Source organism: Homo sapiens, chromosome 8, assembly GCF_000001405.40.
Source record: "Homo sapiens chromosome 8, GRCh38.p14 Primary Assembly".
Classification (NCBI taxonomy): Eukaryota; Metazoa; Chordata; class Mammalia; order Primates; family Hominidae; genus Homo; species Homo sapiens.
The window spans coordinates 18,737,570-18,762,784 of NC_000008.11; the positions used below are offsets into that span (position 1 = coordinate 18,737,570).

General features: G+C 39.4%; 1 protein-coding gene across 25 annotated transcripts in view, besides 1 other annotated feature; it reads right to left on the minus strand.

Moving 5' to 3' along the window:
- Positions 1-25,215, minus strand: part of PSD3 (pleckstrin and Sec7 domain containing 3) — a 557,503-nt gene that overhangs the window by 210,267 nt on the left and 322,021 nt on the right. For 4 of the 25 annotated variants that reach the window (NM_001412868.1, NM_001412877.1, NM_001412887.1 and 1 more), the window contains one exon: positions 22,553-24,781. The exons of the other annotated variants lie outside the window; for them this stretch is intronic. In NM_001412868.1, the coding sequence (NP_001399797.1) occupies positions 24,728-24,781 (54 nt within the window). In that variant the 3' untranslated portion in view covers positions 22,553-24,727. Of the gene's footprint in view, positions 1-22,552; positions 24,782-25,215 lie in introns of those variants that run through there. 25 annotated transcript variants of the gene reach the window in all.
- Positions 10,378-10,437: an enhancer, noted in NCBI's record as "active region_27053". NCBI's record gives its function as "activates an Ori minimal core promoter by ATAC-STARR-seq in GM12878 lymphoblastoid cells {active_cell/tissue: GM12878}" and the evidence as "EXISTENCE:reporter gene assay evidence [ECO:0000049][PMID:35858748]".

A 25,215-nucleotide genomic window follows, 5' to 3' on the forward strand; every position in this document is an offset into this window, starting at 1 on the left:
GGGATTACAGGTGTGAGTCACTACGCTTGGCCTCTATGCTATTTTCAATAAATTACTCAAAAGGTCTATGGCTTTATAATATGCATAAGGCTATAAATAAGTCTTGCAAATATCAGTTTCGGAGGGGAAAGTATATACCTTATTTTTTTTCCCCAGGGTACAGACTGTTCTCTGGTCTATTATCACTTTCTAACTTTAAAGACATTATTTCACTGAACTTCAGTAGAAAATATACACAAAACTAGTCTTGCATCATGGGGTTTACTTCTAACTTTGATTTTGACCTACTTGAGCCTGATTTCCTATTGTTTTTGCAAGTATGCCCTTGCACAGATCCTTATCACACAGGCAGGAGGCAGAGGCTCCCTCTACTCAATTTGTGATCAAGAGAAACTGCTTATAAATTATTTTCTGCTTGCAGATGACACCAACTAGAAGCTATCTTTGCTAGATTTTAAAAGTCTTAATCAGTGTGAAATTGGGAGAAGGGCAAAGGAATGGAAATCAGGAAATCCGAATGGCTAACATGGGGTCACAGGGAAAGAAGAGCAAGCCCAGAACTGAATGTTAATTCCACAGCTCAGCCTCTACATCACAAACTGTTACCAGGACTTTCTGGTGACCAATTTTGCATATCATTTCAAATTAGAGGCCTCCTGGCAGGTGGGAAAACCATGGCAGTGAGAAGGACAAGTAGCTGTCCTTCTCTCTGTTCTGTCTTTACCCACACTAATTAGGGCCTTAAACAACTCACTATCTCTCTGAAACTCCTTTTCTCATTTATAAAATGGGAAGGTTCATCAAGATCATCTCAAGGGTGACTTCGAATTACAATGTTCTATGATGAGATAACATCTGCATTGTCAAGGAGGACAGGGCTGGCCTATGATGTTTATACTGTGAATAGTTGCTTTTCCTGTGGACAGAATCTACCACATGCTAAATAGAATCCACACAGCAGCCATATTATAAAAGGGATCTACCATACACATCACATGTTAAATTTTTAATACAGTAATCATTATCAGAAATGTGAATTCCATCACAGGTTAAACCTTAACACAAGTAGGCTGAAAATCAAACTGGCATCTTACTCTCAGCAATAAAGACTCGTACTAGCCACCTGATAACTCCATGACAGAGATATAAACAGCATACACATTCAAGGGCAGACTATAGCTTGAACTGACTGATCACTTTCCAGAAATGCTATTCTTGGATTGCTAAGAAGTAAGCTATACCACACCCGCTCCGAAAAAAAAAAACAAAAACAAAAAAAACACCAAGAAATCCCTTCACCTCAAAGAATATTCTAGAAAAAAATTCTAGTCATTTTTTTTGTTCTGAAATGTACCTTTTAATATATTTTAAAGACAAAAAAATACCACAAGGATTTCTTTTCCTTTTAAGAAGAACCTTCGGCTCTTAGGTATCACAGATTGTTCAGAACAACTTGGACTAAAGGCGGATTTCGCCTAGTGATTTAATTAATAAACATGTTTGTGGTTCAAAAATCATTTTGGAAGGCACATATGGAAAACTAGGAAAACTTCAGATGGATGAATATTTAGTAATAAATATATTTAAGGAAGAATATTAACCAACCAAAAATTAATTTAAATTGAAAATGCTTCCCAGTTATAATCAGTAACAAGGAAGCAGATGATTCCCCCACAAAAATATAGAACTGTAGGCAATAAACAGATCTTTGTGGAAGAAAAAGAGTAAGCTATTTAAGGGAAAAAATAGGTGTTCCCATACTTAATTATTAGTTATAAACTCGCTGTTGAAATACCAAGAGTATTTAAAGAAACAAGAGGCCGGGCAAACCTGGAAAACAACACATGTAAATACAGTGCCTTTGTCTGGACTCTATAGAGAACCAGAAAGTGTTCTAAAACATCTGTTTTATTATAGGGTTGAAAATAAAGAAGAAGGTAATATGTACTTTGAAATCTATTTTCTAATTTCCATTTTTCATGTGTCTAATAGCTAAAGATAACACATTCATTTTATAAATACAGTACCACTATTAGCTAGCATGGTCACAGGGCTCTAATTTATCCTATTTATAGTAGCAAAAAAATAAACCACATTTTTTAATTATAAATCAACAACTTATCATTGTATATATTTGAGGATACAAAGTAATATTATGATTTGAAAATTCAGTGTGAAATAATCAAATCAAACAAATTAACATGCCCATTACCTCAAATACTTTTTTGCAGTGAGAACATTTGAAATTGACCTGGCTTTCTGGCTAAGATCAACTATAGTATCTGTCTTCATCAGTCTAATTCTAATATTTGTAAAGAATATTAGAAATCAGATGAAAGTAACATTATCAGCTATCTTTAGAACATAAGTTATTTCTAAAAGAAATGTCAAGAACTCACAAATAATATAATATCAAATCTGGGATAACAGACTGCGTAGTAACTTTCTTGTGCATGGACAAGCTCACAGGGACAAAACTGCAAGATGTTCCTATCAACCAGAGTGGAGGCCAGCCAGCCTCCACGAGCAGGAGCTGCTGTCCATGGAGCTGCTCTGGACCCACTCCACATTCCCCTAGCACGGCGTTGCTTTCCTGTCTTCTGTTCCCAGGTCTGATCTCCGACTGGCCCGCAAAACTGGACGCTGACACGGGTTCCACAGTGACAGCTCCTGCTGTGTTAACTCAGCCTGGATCGCCCCCACACTGCTTTATGAGCACTAAATTTTGGCAACCTACTCTCTCTCTCCTCGGAATCTGACCTCAACTGCACCCTTTCTGTTCCACTTCACTTCTCCTCAATTCTGACAGCTTGCAGTGACCTTCCCTAGCTACAAAGAGAAAACTGTGTTGGGTTTCATTTGCAAAATTCTCAAGTAGAATCCATCACACCTTCAGTCCTGTTCTCTAAGGGCCCTTTTAGCAGTCACATTATTGCCCTCTTATTATTGGCAGAGAGAGTCTGAGTGACCTTGGATGAATCTCAACTGCTTTTTGAGCTTAACCTTGACAGCCCCTCGGTTTCATTACCTAATGATTTAGGAATATCAGACTATCTAGAAAATCTTTTAAGATTACTTCCATTTCTAATAACCTGCTCATATTCCTTATCTCAGTGAAATGACCCTACCAGGTACTTAAATCCCAAAAGTCACATGGAAATCCTCTCTCTCACTCATCCTCATATTCAAATGAACAAATGATTCCCTCTGTCCCACGACTTTGTCTCCTAGTCCTCCTAATGTCCCTTAAACCTCAGCTCTGTGAGGCTGACTTCACTTCCCCTACCTTCCAGCTGCTTCCGGGTTCAGCACTTCCACTAGACTTTCCCAGTGACTTCCGGCTTTTCTCTGAGTGTGGATTAACCTGGGTGCCTCCCTGAGGTCAGAGGGCTTATCTGACCCTCAAGAAATAAGTCCTGGTGCAAAGCCAAAAATGAATGAAGGAATGAAAGGGAGAAAGGAAATATCTAAAGATTTTCAGATCCTAACATAAAAAGGGATTAAAATATTGTTTTCTGTTGTCTGTTTTTTAAATCTTAGAAAACACAACACTGAGTAAGAGGGAGATGAGAGTAAGTGGTGGGGAGAAAGGAAGGAAGGACACTTACAGGTACGAGTTACGGTCCAGAGAACGAGCGAAGCATGTGACACATGTAATCTCATTTCCTCCTGTAACAACTGTTCACAAGATGCGATGTCATCTCCATTTTATGGTTAGAGAAAGTGGACTCTGAAAGCCTCCTTAATTTGCCCAATGTCACAATGCCAGTAAGTGTCAGGGTCAGAACTTTAACCAAGATGATGTGACTCCAAGAGTCCATTGATCTTTCCCTAGAGTTTGTTACCATGATGATCTCAACTTTACAACAGTGGTCCATGGGAGTAGCTTATATCATATTAAAATCTTAGAATTTCAGTGTGCAGGAAGAAGAGTTTAAAAACAATCCTAGAATTTAAGAAACCAAAGTATTTGGGAAATAGGAGGGAAAACTCCACCAACACTGCAGCTGTGCTATTCATCTATAGACTCTACTCTTGTACTGGCACTAGCTACATATGTCGGCACCTTTGAAATGCAGTATTTTAAAATCCAATCCTGTGCTAAGATTATCCGTCCTATCAGCGGCATGCTGCATTTTGGGATGCCCTCTCCCACCTACTTTAAGCTCTCCAGAGACTGTGATACAACAATATGGGCTTCAACACACTGCATCTAATTTTATTGTAAAAAAAAAAAAAAAAAAAAAAAAGGCTATGCCATATGGTTACCAACAAATGAAATAGTGACTGTTGCAAACAGAATAAAAAAGCAGGTGGAGCCCTGACAAAAAAAAGTACAACTGAAATGAGATCTAAAAGATTTAAAAATAGCTGGTCAACCAGTAATGTATACTTAAACGAAAGTGTTTAAGAAACCAGGATGAAAAATGTATAAAAACATTACCAGGAGTAATATGAGGAAAATAATGCTTTCGACATTTTCATTTTATCCTTGGAAAGCTTTGGTGATTCAAATTTAAAAGGACTATAATAGGGAAGATATAAAAAGGAATCACAAGTCCAAGAGAACAGAAGAAAGTTTCACCTTTTGTTCTAATTTCTTAGAATCATCTTCCTATTTCCTTGCAATATACCTCTTTAAGAAACCTGGTATACTTTGCTTTATATATGATTTACCAAAAAAGAAAAAAGAGAAAGAAACAAACCAACCAACCAAGCAACCAACCTAGTATCACCAAAACCACAAAGACAGACGGGCCTTAAATTTGCTACGTAACCTGTATACACTTAAATTAGAATGGTCAGGCTGAGTTCTCTAGTAAACACTATAAAGAACTTCAGAATGACACAGGCATCAAACCAAGCAAGGAAGAAAAAATCTTTATAATCGTGAAACAAACTGATGTTATATCCAAAATATAAATATAAGCATATTCTTTGAAAACATGTAGTTATTTCCATATATATTTTACCTACAGTGTATATAATCATAGATAGCTTTTGTGAAGGTATTAGTGAATTCCGGATCCCCCTGTAACTCAGTTGGCCCATCACCACCTAAAGATTAAAAAGCAATTGATATCTATCCTATTTTTAACTTCAGTCCTGGAGATTACATCACCATTTTGGTGCCCAACTCCAGGTTTTAATCACTCTAATAAAAATGTCAGGAATTATTTATTACTGGCAAAATGCTACAGTTTAGAAGCCATTTGGTTTATTTTTCATAAAGACAAAGAGCTAGTCATACCCATCCTTACCTAGGTTATCCATAACCTTTCACAACCTAGGATTATACACTAGAGTAATTAGTTAATCTTCCAAGTTAAGACCCACATTTCAGAGAACTGTAGACATCAACTAGTTTTAAGTGGCTGAGAGCACAGTCAGGTCTCTTACAATTTCCAATGTGAGGGACAAGTCATATGACCTTGGACACTATGCGATGCCTTTAGCTTTAGAAATAGTTTTCATGGCTGGTTTTACTTAATAAATATTGATAGCAGGCTTCTCTTAAAAGTTGCTATGCATACTTCTTCAACTGTATTGCAGGAACAAAGGGCAAACCTCCCCTTTGCCCTTTGAAGGTTCACTGAAAATCAACTGGCCAAAGGTAGAATAACAGCGAAAAAAGCATACAATTTATTAATATGTACAAGGGACAATCACAGAGTGATTCCCCAAATATTCCAATGGGGCCAACATACTCCTACAGCTTCTTTTCATAGAGGAGCGGGGAGATAGCGAATGCAGGGAACTCTGTCAAAGGGCAATAAATGATTACCAAGGAGAATGAACGGATGGGAAAACAGAGATGAACTTGTAAATGGTCCTCTTTAGAAAATGTTCGAGCATGCTTACATTCTTTAGTATTCTTTGTTACAATAGATAATGAGATAACAAGGAGGTGAAGGACAAACAGTCGTTCTCCTTGGTGGGTCCAGTCTTTACTTGGATGGGGGAAAAGTCTCTTCCCACATTTACTGATCTCTAAGAACCTTTCATTCAAAATACCTATTATACCAGGGAGCCATATTTTGGAGTGAAGTTCCCTGGATACCTTCAGTATACTTTATGCAAAATAAATTTTAAAATATTTAACTTAGAAAGTGGAAGTTCCTATTTGGGAGGCCGAGGGGGAAGATTACTTGAGGCCAGGAATTTGAGACCAATCTGGGCAACACAGAAAGACCCTGTCTCTATTAAAAAAAAAAAAAAAAGAAAGAAAATTAGCTAGGCTTGGTGGCACATGCCTGCAGTCCCAGCTACTTTGAGGGGGGAGGTTAAGGTGGGAGGATCCCTTGAGCCCAGGAATTTGTGGTTGCAGTGAGATATGGTTGCATCGCTATATTGCACTCCAGCCTGGGTGAAAGTGCAAACTCTGTCTCTCACCACCACCACCACCACCACCACCACCACCACCACCACCCAGAAGTTCCCTAATATGCTGCTCCCCTGACATCACCACTATTAACACATTCATCTTCTAGATTCTCACATATGAATTTTAACATAAATGGTATCATTCCATACTTAATTTTGTATTGATGTTCCCCACCATCAATTCCTTGAAAATAATAATTAGGTAATCATATTTTATGAAGTATTTTTTATGTGCCAAGTATCATCCTGTAGGCTTTACATGGATTTTCACATTTAAACCTCATTCCTGGTTCATAAGTAGGTATATTTACTTTTCCCAAGTTCCAGATGAGGAAGCTGATAGAGGAATAATTTCCCCAAGGTCACAGAATTGGTGCTAAGTATCAGAGAATCCAGGCAGCATGAATAAAGAAGCTATACTCTTAACCCCTTCTCTTCACTTTGCCATCCATACCACTACTCATAACTCTACGTGGTCTTTTTAACAACTGTATTAATTACATGAATAAAGTATAACTGATGTAATCCTTCACTGATCGAGATTTGTATTATTCTCAATTTTTTGCTATTGTATACAATGCTGCTTTTAATGTCCTTGTACACATACCTTTGTACGTTTAACTACCCAGCATCTTTCTTTTTTCTTCTGAAATAATTTTAGACTTACAAAAAGGTTGTACAAATGGTACAGAGTTCCTGTAAATCCTCCACCCAGTCTTCCCTTAATGTTAACATCTTACGTAACCATCAGTGCAATTATCAAAACCAGAACGTTAATGTTGGTATAGTATTAACTGAACTATACACCTTATTCAAATTTCACCAGTTTCCCCATTACTGCCCTTGTCCTATTCCATGATCCTCTCTAGAACCCACAAGGCCTTCAGTTACTATGGCTTCTTAGTCTCCTCCATTTGGTGACAGTTCTTCAGTATTCCCTTGTCTTTTATGACCTCGACACTTCAAAAGAAGATGGGCCAGTTATTATATAGAATATCTTGCAATTTGGGTTTGGCTGCTGTTTTCTCATGTTTACAATGAAGTTAGGCATTTTGGGAAAGAGAAGTGATGTTAAGTGATGTTATCTTCTCCTTTAGAGCATCAGAGGCTTCATGATGTTGAGATGCCTTGCCACTGGTGATGTTAATCTTGATCACTTGGTTAAGGTGGTATCTTTCACTGTCTACATTGTAAAGTTAGTATTTTCCCCTCATAATGAATAAATATCCTGGGAGAGATACTTTGAGACTACACAAATATCCTGTTTCTTCCCTAACTTTCATCTACTAAATTTAGTATCCTTCAATGGCTCTATCAACAACAATAATTACTGCGATATTTGCCATTTCCTCCTTTCCTTTCACAATTGTTAAAATTTTTCTGTAATAAAAACCTGTCCCTTCTCCACAATTTTTAAAATGTATTCAACGGATATTCATTTTCTTCTCTGAGTATAATCTAATACTATCACTTTGTTGCTCAAATTGTTCCAGCTTTGGCCATTAGGAGCTCCTCCAGGTTGGCTAGGTTGGCCTTCTGGCACACCACCCTCTTCTTTTGAGCACTTACTTTCTGGCACCACAAGATGTTCTAGGCTCATTTTATATTTTCCCTGCCCCAGGACTACAACCAACCAATTCTCCACAGAGCATTAATTCATTTTACTGGTGAACAGTATTTAGAAACCAAGGTCTGGAAGCTACGCTGCTCATTGATATTGAGATATCAGTGCTTCTAGATCCGCTCGGCAGGCAGAGCTAAGAAATATATGCAGGCGTATATTTACATGCATATATACATACCCATCATGCAAACTCACCTACGTTTCTGCATCAATCCATACATTAAAAATTACAAGTTCATATGAATAACGTCAACTGGAATCCAATACCACAGGGTTCCTTATTCATAATTTCTTTCTCCCATAGAGAGAAAACTGCCTCTTATCATCTATAGTATGTTTGTTTATTTGCATATCCTAGTATACAGATAAAGTAATGATAGAGGCAGACAAATGCCTAGACAGACAGACAGAGGCAGGTCCCCTGCAAAATCCTACCTTCAGGCCAAAGATAGTTTAAAGCCTGAAAGCTGAGCTACAAGTTAAATCTTTGGACCAAACTGAGAGTGTCTTCCTGTCTGGCATACTTTCCTCTGATGGGTCCCCACCCTTCACGTATTTTACATATACCCTTTCCTAATTGGTTTCCTACCCTTTCCTAATTGGTTTTTCTACACTGTCCTGCCCACCTTTGAGTGGTGTTTTTGCTTTAATCTTTTTTGCATACTTACAAACCAATCAGCATGCACTCCCCATTCTGAGTCCATAAAGGGCCCCAGACCCAGCCACACAGAGGAACCCCCTCCCTCCCCTGCTGACCCTTGCTGAAAGCCGTTTTCATAACTCGAAAACATTCTTCTCCATCCTCCTCACCCTTCCATGCCCCACGTGTCCTCATTCTTCTTCAGTGCAGTCTAAGAGTTCGGAAACACCAAACAAAGGTACAAGCTCTAACACAGGTAAGCTGGGGCACACCAGCGTGGCCAAGGGAGGTCCAGGGGGGGTGTTGCTGGTCAGGGGTCCCCACCTTGCGAAGTGACCAAGAAGAAAAATTCTGCATCAGTAATAGTTTCAGAATTAATAGCTCATACCCCTGTAAAAGACAAATTTACTAACTGGAGTACAGTGTTTGTGTACTGTTCTTTTTGTCTTCAACCACACGGCATACAGTTAAAAAACTGTTTTTCAAAATTATTTATGTTCGTTCTTTCCTTTTCCATTCCCTTTAGTGTAAATTACAAAATACTTAATTTGTAATACAATTAGGTTCATTTGTTACTGTTTATACTTTCCACTTTGAGTTTTCATGGACTGGTTGGTCTTAATTATTAATTTGTATCCTAAGAGGGTAAATGCCAGGGTTGTGATTTAATGTAGCAAATGAATAGAAGGGCACATTCAGTGAGGACTGAAAGAAATGCCCTTAGGCATGGATATTTTCTCAGCATGTTTGTGCTTGCATCCATGTGCCTGCTTGCTCTCTCTCTCTACCTGTGTATGCATAGCCTCAGTTTTTAAATGGCGGTGTCACCTTTGTTCATATGAGATAATGTGAAGCTTAGAACCCTATAGATTTTAAGATTGAAAAGGGCTTCTCAAACGTAAATAATGCCCCCACATCTTCAATTCTTAATACTAACGATTTAAAAATGTACCACAAATTGGAGCTTGGCCTTTTCATAAAAATGTATGTGGGTACCTGCAGGTGTACAGACACAGTTTACTTGAAGTTAACGACACTGGAAGGATCCTTATAATAAGCTTTTAATTAGATATTACAAACAAGGAAAATATAGGAACATGAGAGCTGGAAGAAATTACCTAAGAGAGTTTCTAAAGGTTTGGTTTCATTTTTAAAAAATCAATTTTCCCTACAGGAAAGAAACCAGAAGTGGACATGACTGACATAATAGATGGGCAAAGTAATGTATTCTCAAAGTCAGATGCATTGTGGAAACAGGAAGAGAAAACTACAGGTGAAAGCAACAGCAATCTTTCTGAATTATCAGAAAACATACCTTAGCATATTAAAGTGGGAAAATGAATGGAAAAAGAGGAAACCAGAAACAGTTCCCAGTGTCTCTGAATCTGAAAGCACAAAGCTTTAATCAGAACACCAGCAGAGATTATGGCTGGATAGTGACAAGAATGAGACTGCCACATGGTAAGGAAGGTAGTGCTTCCTTTCCAGCTGCTAAATAGTGCCAATTAACTACTATATGAATTACATGTGTACCAATGTCTGCTCAGTATGCAGAGAGCAACTCCAAGAAAAGGCTATTTTTCTTATCAAAGTGAGTAAAAAAAAAAGAAAAAAAAAGACACAGAAGAAGACGAGTTTCCTTTTGCAGGCCTCTAATCATCAGGACCAGCACTTCAGGTTTCGGTGGAAGGTGGGAAGAGAAGGAAGGAAAACAAACTCTGGCAAGAGAGAGGGAGAAAGGTTTGGAAAGACTACGGAAGTCTTCGTATGTACTAGAAGCTTTAAGGGCAAAATATGAGTCACCAAAGGCAAGTGAAATTGCTGATCTCTCATAAAACACCCCTTGGCTTTCTGCCACCATAACTTCCCCTTTTAATCCTATTTCTCATATGCAGCATGTGAAAAAAGGACCAGCTGGCTGCACTGGTTTTGTTATTTTAGCCCTTATGTATACACACTTTAAAAGGCTGAAGAAAAGCAACTGTGGGCAGTTACATCCTTTGTATTTTTCAAAGGTTGGCAGAAAGTATTCTGTGACTCCTTTGTATAGATGCATGCTTTCAAAATAAAAAGGTATATACAACTCTTTTTAAAGCTTATAAATAAATTAGGTGAAAAGGAAGGGAAGTGGTAGAGAGTAACGCTAATAAAGATTTTTCCAGGCTGGGCGCGATGGCTCACACCTGTAATCCCAGCACTTTGAGAGGCCAAGGCGGGCGGATCACGAGGCCAGGAGATCGAGACTATCCTGGCTAACACGGTGAAACCCCATCTCTACTAAAAATACAAAAAATTAGCCGGGCTTGGTGGCAGGCGCCTGTAGTCCCAGCTACTCAGGAGGCTGAGGCAGGAGAATGGCGTGAACCTGGGATGCAGAGCTTGCAGTGAGCTGAGATCGCGCCACTGCACTCCAGCCTGGGCGACAGAGCGAGACTCCGTCTCCAAAAAAAAAAAAAAAAAAAAGATTTTTCCTTTATGTGGAATTGTTATAGAAAATCAGTTATAATACGGCAGTAATGTTTAGAGACACCAAGGACCTGCCAACATGACCTCATCATCTCTCCACACAAGCTGGGACTGTGCTGAAGTTATCATCCACCTAAAGTAGGGTACAAAGCCCACTCAGAATGGTCACAGAGGTAAGCCCTGTGGGGCAATACAAAAGGAGAGTGGGAGACTTTTCCCAAAGGCCACATTCTCTGGTTTGTATCAGTAGATATGGAGCTTTTAAAAGTTTAGAAATAAGAAAATCAGATTTCACATTTTCATGTGTAACGCTACTCAGTTCTTTCTAACAGCCAAAGAGAAGGTGGTACAACAATCACACCACACAACTGTCTTAGTCCTTTTAAAATAATGATTCTGCATGCTACGTGTTGATTATCTTCTTGACGTTCCTCTTATTTCTACTTTGATCTAGAAAAATCTGATGTTAGGAGCCTGAATAACTCTGTAAATAGTAACTAACACATGGAGTACATTCAAGGGATATGGCTGCTCTTAGTGGACCACACGTTATCATCCTTCCTGTCTCCACACTGGCATCTAAGCTGTTACCCCACAACCAGAGTCCCTTCTACTCCAGCTCTATAGCACCCATCGGAACTACGTTTCAATAGACGACAAGGTGCTACCATCTCAAAGGGGCTTTTCCAGATGCTGCCCAGTTGAAAGTCATTTCTCTTTATTCTGAAATCCCACAGTATTTTATACGTAATTCCGCATTTATGCAGGATTTTAAAGATGCTGGCCCCCTAAGAGTCTCATCCCTTGATGATTTAATCAAATGTTCATCTAGCCACTGCTAAGAAGGCACACGGCAGATGGAACTAAGGTTACTCATCAACTAACCTTAATAGAGGGAGATTATTCTGGATTATCTGGGTGGGCCCAGTGTAATCACACAAGACCTTCAAAGAGGAAGGGAGAACAGGCACTCAGAAGATGCACCAGAAAAGGAAACCAGACAAAGACGAGGCAAAAAGAAGAGGATGAGGAGGTCAGACAGTACCAGAGAGTGAGAAGAACTTGGGCCATCTCTGCTAGCTTTCAAAATGGAGGTAGCGGACCACACGCAAAGGACTAAAGGTGACCGCTAGAAGCTGAGGAGGACCCCTGGGCAACAACCAACAAGAAAAGGGGGACCGCAGTCCTATGACCACACAGAACTTAATCCTTCCAACAAGCTTAATGAACTTGAAGCAGATTCACCTTCAGAGCCTCCAGAAATAGACACAGTCCTGCCTAAATCTTGATTTGGAAATGGAAAAACCAGAAGTAGAAAAACCAGCCAAGCAAACCCAAACCTCTAACCCACAGAACGATGAGATAATGATCAATCTGTGTTGTTTCAAGCCACTAAGTTTGTGGTGATTTGTTAACGACAGCAATATAAAACTAACACATTCTCCTTCATATTATATCCTATTTAATAGTTCAAGTCTCAGTGGGCATTAGAACTGTGTCCGGAATTGGTGGGTTCTTGGTCTCACTGACTTCAAGAATGAAGCCGCGGACCCTCGCGGTGAGTGCTACAGCTCTTAAGGTGGCGCGTCTGGAGTTTGTTCCTTCTGATGTTCAGATGTGTTCGGCGTTTCTTCCTTCTGGTGGGTTCGTGGTCTCGCTGGCTCAGGAGTGAAGCTGCAGACCTTTGCGATGAGTGTTACAGCTCTTAAGGTAGCGCGTCTGGAGTTGTTCGTTCCTCCCGGTGGGCTCGTGGTCTTGCTGGGCTCAGGAGTGAAGCTGCAGATCTTCGCGGTGAGTGTTACAACTCATAAAAGCAGCGTGGACCCAAAGAGTGAGCAGTAGCAAGATTTATTGCAAAGAGCGAAAGAACAAACCTTCCACAGTGTGGAAGGGGACCCGAGTGGGTTGCCACTGCTGGCTCCGGCAGCCTGCTTTTATTCTCTTATCTGGCCCCACCCACATCCTGCTGATTGGTAGAGCCGAGTGGCCTGTTTTGACAGGGCGCTGAGTGGTGCGTTTACAATCCCGGAGCTAGATACAAAGGTTCTCCACGTCCCCATCAGATTAGTTAGATACAGAGTATGGACACACAGGTTCTCCAAGGCCCCACCAGAGCAGCTAGACACAGAGTGTCGATTGGTGCACTCACAAACCCTGAGCTAGACACAGGGTGCTGATTGGTGTATTTACAAACCTTGAGCTAGATACAGAGTGCCGACTGGTGTATTTACAATCCCTGAGTTAGACATAAAGACTCTCCACCTCCCCACCAGACTCAGGAGACCAGCTGGCTTCACCCAGTGGATCCCGCACCGGGGCTGCAGGTGGAGCTGCCTGCCAGTCCTGCGCGATGCGCTCACACTCCTCAGCCCTTGGGCAGTTGATGGACCTGGGCGCCGTGCAGCAGGGGGCGGTGCTCTTCGGGGAGGCTCCGGCCGCACAGGAACCCACGGAGGCGGGGAAGGCTCAGGCATGGCGGGCTGCAGGTCCCGAGCCCTGCCCTGTGGGAAGGCAGCTAAGGCCCGGCGAGAAATCGAGCACAGCGCTGGTGGGCCGGCACTGCTGGGGGACCCAGTACACCCTCCGCAGCCGCTGGCCCGGGTGCTAAGCCCCTCACTGAAACGATCCTTACAAGATCACCCTGTGAAGTTGTTCCAGTTTCTTTTTTGCCACATAATATTTTGCTCAAAAGACATCACCAGAGGAAGTTAGAACATGACAGAAAAAGAGAACAACTTCTGGAGCAGAAGGGGAGCGGTGACAGGGAGGGGTGAACACTGGACACAGGCTCCAGAAGCCTAAACCGAAAACCTGAAAACCATAGGCACAGGCCAAATATCTTATTTTACAAATGAGGAAACTCAGGCACAAAGTGAAATGATCACCCGGAGGCGCCACCACTAGTCACTAGCAACACTAAGGCAGGCTTAGAGCCCAGCGACTTCCATAACCCAGTCAGAACAACTAGTGCATTCCACACGGGCACACTGCTAGCCACTTAACACACCTCATCATATTTAATTCTCCTAACCGCTCTTAGAGGAAGGTGTTTTTATCCCATGCCGTACCTGAGAAAACTGAAAAGGATTAAGTTGCTTGGCCAAGGTAAGATATTGGGATTACTTTCCAGATCTGTAACTACTCATTTTACTCTGCCACACAGCCTTCCATGACATTCAGCCTAACAGGCCAAATAAACATTAACTGGGATCTGGACGCGGTGGCTCACGCCTGGAATCCCAGCACTTTGGGAGGCCGAGGTGGGTGGATCATTTGAGGTCAGGAGTTCAAGACCAGCCTTGCCAACATGGTAAAACCCTGTCTCTACTAAAAATACATAAAAAAAAAAAAAAAATTAGCTGGGCGTGGTGGTGGATGCCTGTAATCCCAGCTACTCGGGAGGCTGTGTCAGGAGAATCACTTGAACCCAGGAGGCGGAGGTTGCAGTGAGCAACCATCTGAATATCTGATCATAGGTATAGCTCCTCTCTCTCAAAAAATAAAAAATTATGCATATACTTACACACATTAACAATTCTACATACAATATCAAGTTGTACATGCAGAATCACTGACACTGTGTTTTACGGAAAACTGAAATTATTTCTTTAATGAGTATTTGTTGAGTATCTGATCTGTTCTAAGAATTACACTAGGTATGAGGCATACTGTGGCCAACAGGAGGGTCTCTTGTCCTTAAGAATACTGGAAGGAAGGAGATCAAATGCAAGTGATAAGCAATACCACCATCTAATCAGTAAGTTCTCAAAATCCCTAACTTTTCAAATATATATATTATTATATATATAATATATATAATATATATAATATATGTAATATATATAATTATATATTATATATATTATATATAATTATATATATTATATATATAATTATATATATTATATATTATATATTATATATAATACATATAATATATATTATATATAATATATATAATATATATAATATATTATATTTGATATATATCAAATATATAATCATATATGATATAATATATAATATATATATATTTTTGTCTAAGTCTATACTGTATGACAAACAACCTGAAATGCAAATAACCTTTCGAGATACGATTTTGAGTATACATATTTGCCTTTCATTGCTGTTTTTGGGAGTGAAAGAAAGAGCATGGAAATGAGGCAAAAAGAGTAACAATGTACCTGTCTTGCATTCTCAAGGAATAATTGCTTTTGATTGCTTTTAGAATAGGTAACCTCATCGTGACATGATTTGCTCCAGGAGCAGGAATTCACTTCCCTCTGTGATCTTTTACAAATGGCAGTGGTTTCCAAATGAACAGGGTAAGTTCATTTTTTTCTGGGAAAAAGTGTGAAGGTATCAGGATTTTTCTCAACAGTCTGGGGTGATGATGAGCATGGTGGTTCACGCCTGTAATCCCAGCACTCTGGGAAGCCGAGGCAGGTGGATCACGAGGTCAGGAGCTTGAGACCAGCCTGGCCAATATGGTGAAATCCCATCTCTACTAAACATACAAAAATTAGTCAGGTGTGGTAGCGTGCGCCTTAGTCCCAGCTACTCAGGAGGTTAAGGCAGGAGAATCACTCGAACCCAGGAGGTGGAAGTTGCAGTGAGCCGAGATCATGCCACTGTACTCCAGCCTAGGGGACAGAGCGAGACTCCAACTCCAAAAAAAAAAAAATCCACACAAAAGAAAAGAATGTGTGAACTCCCTCTGACAAGATGGTATGTTGTGAAGAGGAAAGTTCATGTACCTGCATTATCCAGAAAATACTTCCTTGCAAGATCTGGATAATGTGGCTTCTGGCGTTTCTGCAAAAACAACAATTTAGCACAAAAACTATGCTGCTATCTATGGAAAGTTTAAGGGAAGAGTAAATGTTAAAACAATTAAAACAAGCAAATAAAATGTTTTAAATAACAGTAAAAATCCAACATTGACAGGGAACAGAGTTCAAGAATGGTTTTAGATAGAGAAATGAATTATCCTACATTAGCGCATTTTCTGATTGAAGGTAATTTCTTTAAATGCCAAAAAATCTTTATAAGATAGTTTTACTGGCAATCTTTCCAATCTATTTCACACTCCCTGTCTCCTTAATCAAACCAAGTAAACAAAATGTAACATTTTTGATGACTCACTAAGTACATCCATTACTTTGCAGTGCTGTAATGCAGCCATTCTGAGAGGCTACTGACGACACAGATTTGACTGCCTCTCTTCAAAACAACTCCAGATGTACCATTTGGAGACCTAGTGCCCTTTAAGGTTGCAACATTTTCTCTTTACCTCATTAGCAAATCACTTCTTGCTACTGCCCCTCTATCTGAGGAACATCACTTCCTTGAACTCCATTCTTCTAATTCATGGCCAAACTGAGAAAACAATTGTTTCTTTAAAATAATTTCAATTTAGGCCAGGTGCGGTGGCTCACGCCTGTAATCCCACCACTTTGGGAAGCCGAGGTGGGTGGATTACCTGAGGTCAGGAGTTCCGGATCAGCCTGACCAATATGGTGAAACCCTGTCTCTACTAAAAATACAAAAATTAGGAGGGCGTGGTGGCGGATGCCTGTAATCCCAACTACTCGGGAGGCTAAGACAGGGGAATCACTTGAACCTGGGAGGCACAGGTTGCGGTGAGCTGAGATCACGCCACTGCATTCCAGCCTGGGCGACAGGGTGAGACTCCATCTCAAAATTAATAAATGAATAATTTCCACTTAAAAATTTATGTAATAACCTAAATGTCTGTGTTCTATTAAATTCATCTTATTAAAATCAGTTGGATTTGGCTATTAACTTGCCCACGAACAGCTGGCTCGGTGATAGTCAGCAGTAACTTGTATGCTGGTATTTGCCTGTGTCTACAGGCCCAAGATTATGATATGCCAGGGGGAGGATCAGGTCAAAAATTTCAAAGTGAAAACTAATTGTGGGTATTATTAAAAACAGGATCTAAATACAGGTTGTGTGAAATTTGTGAGGTCAGTTATTAATACATGGACTCTGTAATTATTCTGGCTGTTGAGAGTTATTTTTATTTTTTTGCTTGTTTTCACTTTTTTTAGTCATTTTAAAAAAAGATTGACCTTTAGCTAAGTGAAGCATTACTATAACAACACACTGTTTTCCTTTATGGGATATTTTGACTATATAATTATAAATGCCTTTAAAATAAAATTTGTTTTTCTGTATCCTTATTGGCTAAGTAAATACCATGTTCAGGATAGAATATTTGCCATGGTAGTTCCACTTATCCTTGCATTGCTGGTCTGCTGAAAGGAGGGCATCAATCATCCCAAGGAGCTCCTCAGTCTCCTGACATATCATAAGCAAAAAGAGGATAGCTTTTATTCATGATGTGACCAGTTACATTCATATCAATAATACATGCTCATGTTAGTGAGAGGGGCAGCAATCTTGGACTGTTATGACACTTTAAACATGCTCCAAACAAGGCCGGGTGCAGCAGCTCAAGCCTGTAATCCCAGTACTTTGGGAGGCCATGGTGGGCGGATCACTTGAGGCTAGGAGTTCGAGACCAGCCTGGTCAACATGGTGAAACCCCTGTCCCTACTAAAAATACAAAAATTAGCCAGGCGTGGTGGCACGCGCCTGTAATCTCAGCTACTTGGGAGGCTGAAGCAGGAGAATCGCCTGAACCTAGGAGGTAGAGGTTGCAGTGAGCCGAGATTGTACCACTGCACTCCTGCCTGGGCAACAGAGTGAGACCCTGTCTCAACATAACATAACATAACATAACATAACATAACATAACATAACATAACATAACATAAAAATGCTCCAAACATACAAACATTCAAACGTCTATGGATGCATCTGAATAGGAAATTCTGTAGCACTTCTTCATGATCAAATTGAAAATAAATTTCAATATAAATTCCCACTGGGAATCATTAATATTCCATTACAGTACCCTTAATGATTACAACCACCACCACTCAAACTTTTTTCCTTTTTTCTTTTTTTGGGGGTTAAAAATCTGTTTGTACTCTTAAGCAGCATCTGTTCTGTTAAAACATTGTAACAGACTTCTTTTTGGTAATTTTTTTTTTTTTTTAAGAAAACACATGAACATGATTTGTGGATCTTCAGTTACTTCAAATATTACCCTCATTATCGTCACCATTTTTCATTCATGGTCTGAACCACACCAAAAGCAGCATCATTATTCTGCCCATGATGAGCACGTGATCGAAAGCGAAAGCAGGCTGCCAGACCTCCACGGGGAGGGCAGAAGCGGAAACACGCCACGCACCTTTCATCACCTAACTCAGCTTGATTTACTTTACTGAAAAAAGCAGCAATATTCCATATTTTAAGCCAGAACCTTTAAAGCTTTTCTCTTAAAAAGCTTGCAAACCTAGCTTTTCTCTTAAAAGGCTCTCCGACTTACACAGGACAGGCATCCAAGCCCTCTTCCTCCATGGATACTGTTGCTACCAGGTTTCCATGACCTTCTCTTGGAAAGAACTCACCTACTCTAGGCAACAGTTGATGCTCTTTTTTTAGCTACACTTAAATACCACCCATAAGTTCCTATTTTCAACTACATACTCCGAATATAACTCAGATCAAGTATTTTTGAGAATTCAGTTCAGGCTTTTCCTTTATAAAAAGTTCAGACCTTTTTCTGACTGAGGTCTGCTTCTTCCTCTTGTGTAGTCCTTTGGGAATAATCTTTTGAAAATGCTGCAATGACAAAAGCAATTTTCTTGGATTTAAATCTGAACATTCTCTGGTTTCATTATTAAGTATACACTTCTTTGTCTAAACCAGTAAATACAAGGTGAGAGCTAAGAGAGTTAACACTTTAGAAATGCGATTTGGATTCAAAATGACGTTAAGAAAATGCCCAGCACTTAGACTGAAACGATCCTTACAAGATCACCCTGTGAAGTTGTTCCAATTTCTTTTTTGCCACATAATATTTTGCTCAAAAGACATCACCAGAGGAAGTTAGAACATGACAGAAAAAGAGAACAACTTCTGGAGCAGAAGGGGAGCGGTGACAGGGAGGAGTGAACACTGGACACAGGCTCCAGAAGCCTAAACCGAAAACCTGAAAACCATAGGCACAGGCCAAATATCTTATTTTACAAATGAGGAAACTCAGGCACAAAGTGAAATGATCACCCGGAGGCGCCACCACTAGTCACTAGCAACACTAAGACAGGCTTAGAGCCCAGCGACTTCCATAACCCAGTCAGAACAACTAGTGCATTCCACACGGGCACACTGCTAGCCACTTAACACACCTCATCATATTTAATTCTCCTAACCGCTCTTAGAGGAAGGTGTTTTTATCCCATGCCGTACCTGAGAAAACTGAAAAGGATTAAGTTGCTTGGCCAAGGTAAGATATTGGGATTACTTTCCAGATCTGTAACTACTCATTTTACTCTGCCACACAGCCTTCCATGACATTCAGCCTAACAGGCCAAATAAACATTAACTGGGATCTGGACGCGGTGGCTCACGCCTGGAATCCCAGCACTTTGGGAGGCCGAGGTGGGTGGATCATTTGAGGTCAGGAGTTCAAGACCAGCCTTGCCAACATGGTAAAACCCTGTCTCTACCAAAAATACAAAAAAAAAAAAAAAATTAGCTGGGCGTGGTGGTGGATGCCTGTAATCCCAGCTACTCGGGAGGCTGTGTCAGGAGAATCACTTGAACCCAGGAGGCGGAGGTTGCAGTGAGCAGAGATCATGCCACTGCATTCCAGCCTGGGCAACAAGGCAAGACTCCGTTGCAAACAAACAAACAAACAAACATTAACTGCGTAGAGAAAATTCAGATTCTACTCTTTGTTTCTTTTCTACTTCGTTCAGGTAAGGGACAAAGGGGCAATGAGGAAACCAGTCTACCAGCAGAATCTCTAATAGGAAGCTCTAAATAATTCAATACTTAATATATTTCCTTCAATACTGTCACCACCAGCATCCGAGCCACCATCCTTCTCACATAGACAATTGCGATTTTACCATCTTTCCACTTCCACTTTCCTAAACAATTCTTCAAATATCCAGAGTAAAACATGACAATAAACATAGGATCATGTTACTTTCCAGTTTTCAATTCTTCAAAACAATTCCCATTGTCTTTTTCTTAAAACGTCAGTGTTTTTAATACTGTTATATAGTTATTTCTGAACTGTTGGTCATTACACTGTACTCAGTACTTTAAAAGAATGACCAAGAGTAGTAAAATTTCATTAAGCCTATTTTTATATGATGCCTAAAACCTCTGGCTGAATAGACAAACTGCCCCATTTTTTTTTTTAGAGTGGACTTGTCCATTATTTTTGTCATTGTTTTACTGACAGAATTACAAATTCACAGGCAGTTGTAAGAAAAGAACAGAGTCCTTGTGCCATTTACCCAGTATCCTCCAATGGTAACATCTGCAAAACTATAGTATGATAGCACAAACCAGAATGTTGACATTAATAAAACCTAGTCTTATTCTGATGTCTCCAGCTATACTTGTACTCAGCGATAATCAGGAAGTAAAGATGAGAGAGGAGAGAGCAACAATGAGAGTGGGAAGATCAAATAGGGAAAAAAGACTTCATGTTGCTTAGGTTAAGCCTTCTGGTAGAAAATATTGAAAAGTAGGGCAATTGTCAGTGTTAAATTTCCAATCTTCTCCCTGGCTGAAAGGGGTAGATGGAACTCAGAAAGAGAGATGGGTCAGTTTTACTCTTTTTTTTTTTTTTTTTAAGAAGAATCATTACAGCTTTTGCTGTCACTCCGTGTGAACAGATCCTTTTTGGGGTTTGAACTTACAAAAATGGCTTATCTCTAGATTTTTAATGGCTGATTCATCTGTTGTTCTTTACCCTTATATACAGCTGTAACTGATTAAAAAGCCTAATGGTTACAAATCTGAGAGCCTCACTTTATATTTTCTAATTATGTTTCTTCCTTATCCAAAAAGATGCATTAATCTTTATTTAAAATGTGTTTTATCTTTGCTGATCTTTTGAGTCTGTTTAAATTCTACCTTCTTGGCTAATTACTCCATCATTTTCACAAATTATTTTTCCTTAAGAAAACCAAATGAGAAAATTATGTTTAAAACAACATATATAATCCTTTCAGCTGACAAGATAGGTTAAAAACGGGATGGAGGTATCCTACATATTCTTGGAACTGTCTCCTAAGAGAATCTTGCCTAAACTCTGTCCTTTGAGAAAGCAAGGGAAAACAAATGTATTTGAATGACAACTTTCATTAAAATTCTAACCAACAGACTATGTAACAATTTAATTCACTGTTTTTTTATCACTCCATTCATGGAGTGAAGCTTATAAATCCTGCTAGGCCAAGCATACTGATTTACATCCTTTCAATTTAACCCATTCTTCACACACACACACACTCTCTCTCTCTCTCTCTCTCTCTTTCTTCCACATTAAAACTTTTGCTCTTCCCTTAAGGGAAGACGTGCTAATTTCAAAGTTCATAAATTCCCAAGTAAAGCAATTTCTATAAAAAAACTTAAAAATTTAAAGAATATTCTAATGTCAAACATCTAATAGCAAGCAATAACCTAAAAGACTGTCATATTGATTGGTATCTGTAAGATTTATTTCCCTACGTTTTTAAATGATTTCCAGTGACACTGTCTTCTAACTAGAATTATTCTTAGACCTACTTGTGTATTTAAATACATTCAAGGTATGTTTTTAAACATTCTGCAAATTGTGTTCAGTTTTATCACAAATATTTGGAACATTTTGTTTTGTTGTTTCTGTTCTTTCCATCAATAAGTTGGTATAAAAATTTTTAAAGGAGAGACTGTTTCAGCTAATTTCTTTCTACTCTCCCTTGGTACTTACTGAATTTAACTGCTGCTCAAAAAAGAAATAAAGATCTAACAATGACTGGAATAAAAATACTAAGGAGAGCAGTATCAGAGTATTAAATGGTAGATGGCAATGGGAAAGTGGGATAGAAAACAATTGGGTTCATGTCATATCAAAATCTACAGTCTAGATGTCTCTTCAGAATGAAATTATGGGACGGCCAATAACTGACCTTCCACCCTTTATGTTCCTAGACCATTTGCCAGGATCTTCTTGTCATTTATTTCTCAGTTTCTTCCCTTCTTTCATGTAAATACATTTTCAAATGGACAATTCATCTCTAAATATATAAATACCTGGTGACCATCACTGAAAGGCCCTGTGTCTTTTCTGTATATAATGAGAAATGGACAATTATCAACCACCAGAGTTAGAAATGCAGAGCAGATTCGATAGAAGATAGAAACGCAGCTTTTCTGTTACAAACAAGAACAAGGGTTTCCTAAGAAACTCAGTAGAAATAAAATTCAGGGAACAGAAATGCAGAGGATCAAGACACTGCATTTTGAACATTAAGATAGAGGAACTTTCAAGAAAATTCTTATTTTTAAATGTTTTAATTGACAAATGAAAAGTATATATTTGTGGTGCACAATGCAGTATTTTGAGTACACATACATACTGTACAATGATTAAATAAAGCTAATTAACCTATTTCTCACCTCACATACTGTTTTGTGATGAGAACATTCAAAATCTATTCTCCTAGTATTTTTCAAACAAACAATATGATGTTATTAACTATAGTCACCATGCTATACAACAAAGCTCTATGATTTATTTATATAGTCGAAAGGAAATTGTACCCTTTGTTTAAATCCCCACCATCCCCAGACCCCTGGTAACCACCATTTAACTCCATGAATCTGTGAGATCAACTTTTTTAGATTCCACTGTAAGTGAGATCATGCGGTATTTGTCTTTCTGTGCCTGGCTTATTTCATTTAGTGAAACGTCCTCCAGATTTATCGATGTCACAAATGACAGAATTCCTCCTTTTTAAGGCCAAATAATATTCCACTGTGCATATCTACCACATTTTATCCATTCGTCTGCTGATGAACATTTAGGATGATTCCGTATCTGGGCTGTTATGAATTTTCAAAGGTTATTCTACAGAGTGAAGAGTTTCAGAAATATGCACATAATCAAAAGCTAACACTTCACTAGTTGGTATCAGCCGCTGATAAGACTGGGTGAAAGAAGTCCCCAGGCTGACACAGTCAAGAGTCCATAAAAATTGCCCCGAGACAAAGCAGAATCCCAACAATTCCTGGACCTGATCCTTCAGACCAACGCCTCTCCATTAGGAAGGCACATCTCTAGCAACCCTTGTCTCCCCCAGGGATGTTTTAATCACTTCAAGTAATTCACATCTCCATCAATATTCCAGGATAATCTTGGGATCTTAGCAGAATATGAACTAGTTTGCTTCCTCAAAGGTTCTTCAAGATTCCAGGACCAGTTCAAGAGCCAATGCACCCTAGTACTTCCCCTCTTGTAGCATCAAAGAGGGAAGTCACTAAAAACGCAAATCAAACGTCAGGTTTAAAAATGTGGGAAGAAGGATAGGCCCAGGAGAAAGAGGCTGTTAACAAGGTAAAAAGGTAAGGGTTAAGCAAGATTCATTTTCAGTCAACGTCACAGGTGCTTCCTTTCAAAGAGCAGAGGCTATGTATCTTTGGAAAGCAGCAAGCTAAAAAGGGATGGTGGGTAGAGGTTTTGACTACTGCCGCTAATCTCACTCGCCTCTAAAAAGTCTTAAAACCAGATACCTGCAGGAAGGGATAGGGTCCTTCCAGCCCACTTTAGGCTAAGTAAAATAATATCAAAAATAAAAAGTTTTAATAGCTAACAGACAATACTTACTATATGTGAGGACTCTAAAATCTCCCATTTTATAGATGAGGATATTGAAATACACTATTTACTTGACGTAGTCCCCTGACTATTAAGAGACAGAACCTGGTATTAGAACCCAGTCAGTACAGTTCTCAAATCATAATCTCAATCCTCATACCGTACTGTCTCTCAAAACACAGCCTACAATACAGAGCTAGCCTGCATTCTACATTCTTATCCCTCTTTATTCACGTCGTTAGTACCTGTAATACTTATTAGAGCCTTACGAATGTTTTACAAAATCTATCAGACCCAAAGCAGAACCTCCCCTTTCTCTTCCATTGTCCCCAAGGATGCTTGAATACAAACCACATCCAACCGCTGGGATGGGTGGAGCCAGTAGAAACATGATCACAGGGTTAATCAGAAACTTGTAAGACAGTAGCAAATTTTTCTGTGTTTATCTGTACTATGTGAATCATACCAGATGATCTGGCCTATTTTGTTATATGAATGACTGTCTTGATTTGGTCATGTAGTTGAGAGGGGTAAATATGAGAATGTCTTTGGGTGAAAGAAGGGGCAGGAAATGCAATGGAATAATAACCAAGATAACAAGTCTTTTACCTATACTTCAAAAGGCCATCTGACATGGTTTGTGTCCCCACCAAAACTCATGTTGAATAATAATCCGTAGTACTGGATGTGGGGTCTGTTGGGAGGTGATTGGATCAGGAGGGCGGAGCTCTCATGAATGGGTTAGCACTGTCCCCTTGGTGCTGTTCTCATGATGACGAGTGAGCTCTCCTGAGCTATGGTTATTTAACAGTGTGCAGCATCTCCTTCCTTCCTCTCTTCCTCCTGCTCCGGCCACTTAAGATGTGCCTGCCTCCCCTTCTGCCACGATTTTAGGTTTCCTGAGGCCTCCCTAGAAGCCAAGCAGATGCCAGCATCAGGCTTTCTGTACAGCCCGCAGAACCATGATCAAAATAAACCTCTGTTCTTTATGAATTACTCAGTATCAGGTATTTGTTTGCAGCAGTGGGAGAATGGACTAATACACCATCTCAAACATCACCTCCTCCCAGCCTTCTGCTTTGAAGAACCTAAGTAATATGCTATCACTGGTTGTCTTCTGATATCCAACTTATTTCACTTTTATTACACATATCCATATCTTACACTGTAAACACCCTGTAGGGGAAAAAATGTCAAATATCGGTTTAGGTTATTTGAGTAAACAACGAAAGCTGCAATGGAATTTTAAACTAAAAAAAGGGCTCAATGTATCATCTATCCCTTCAATACAGTATAAGGCAAATTCAGAAGCAAAATATTAATTAAATCAACTGAATTGAAGGA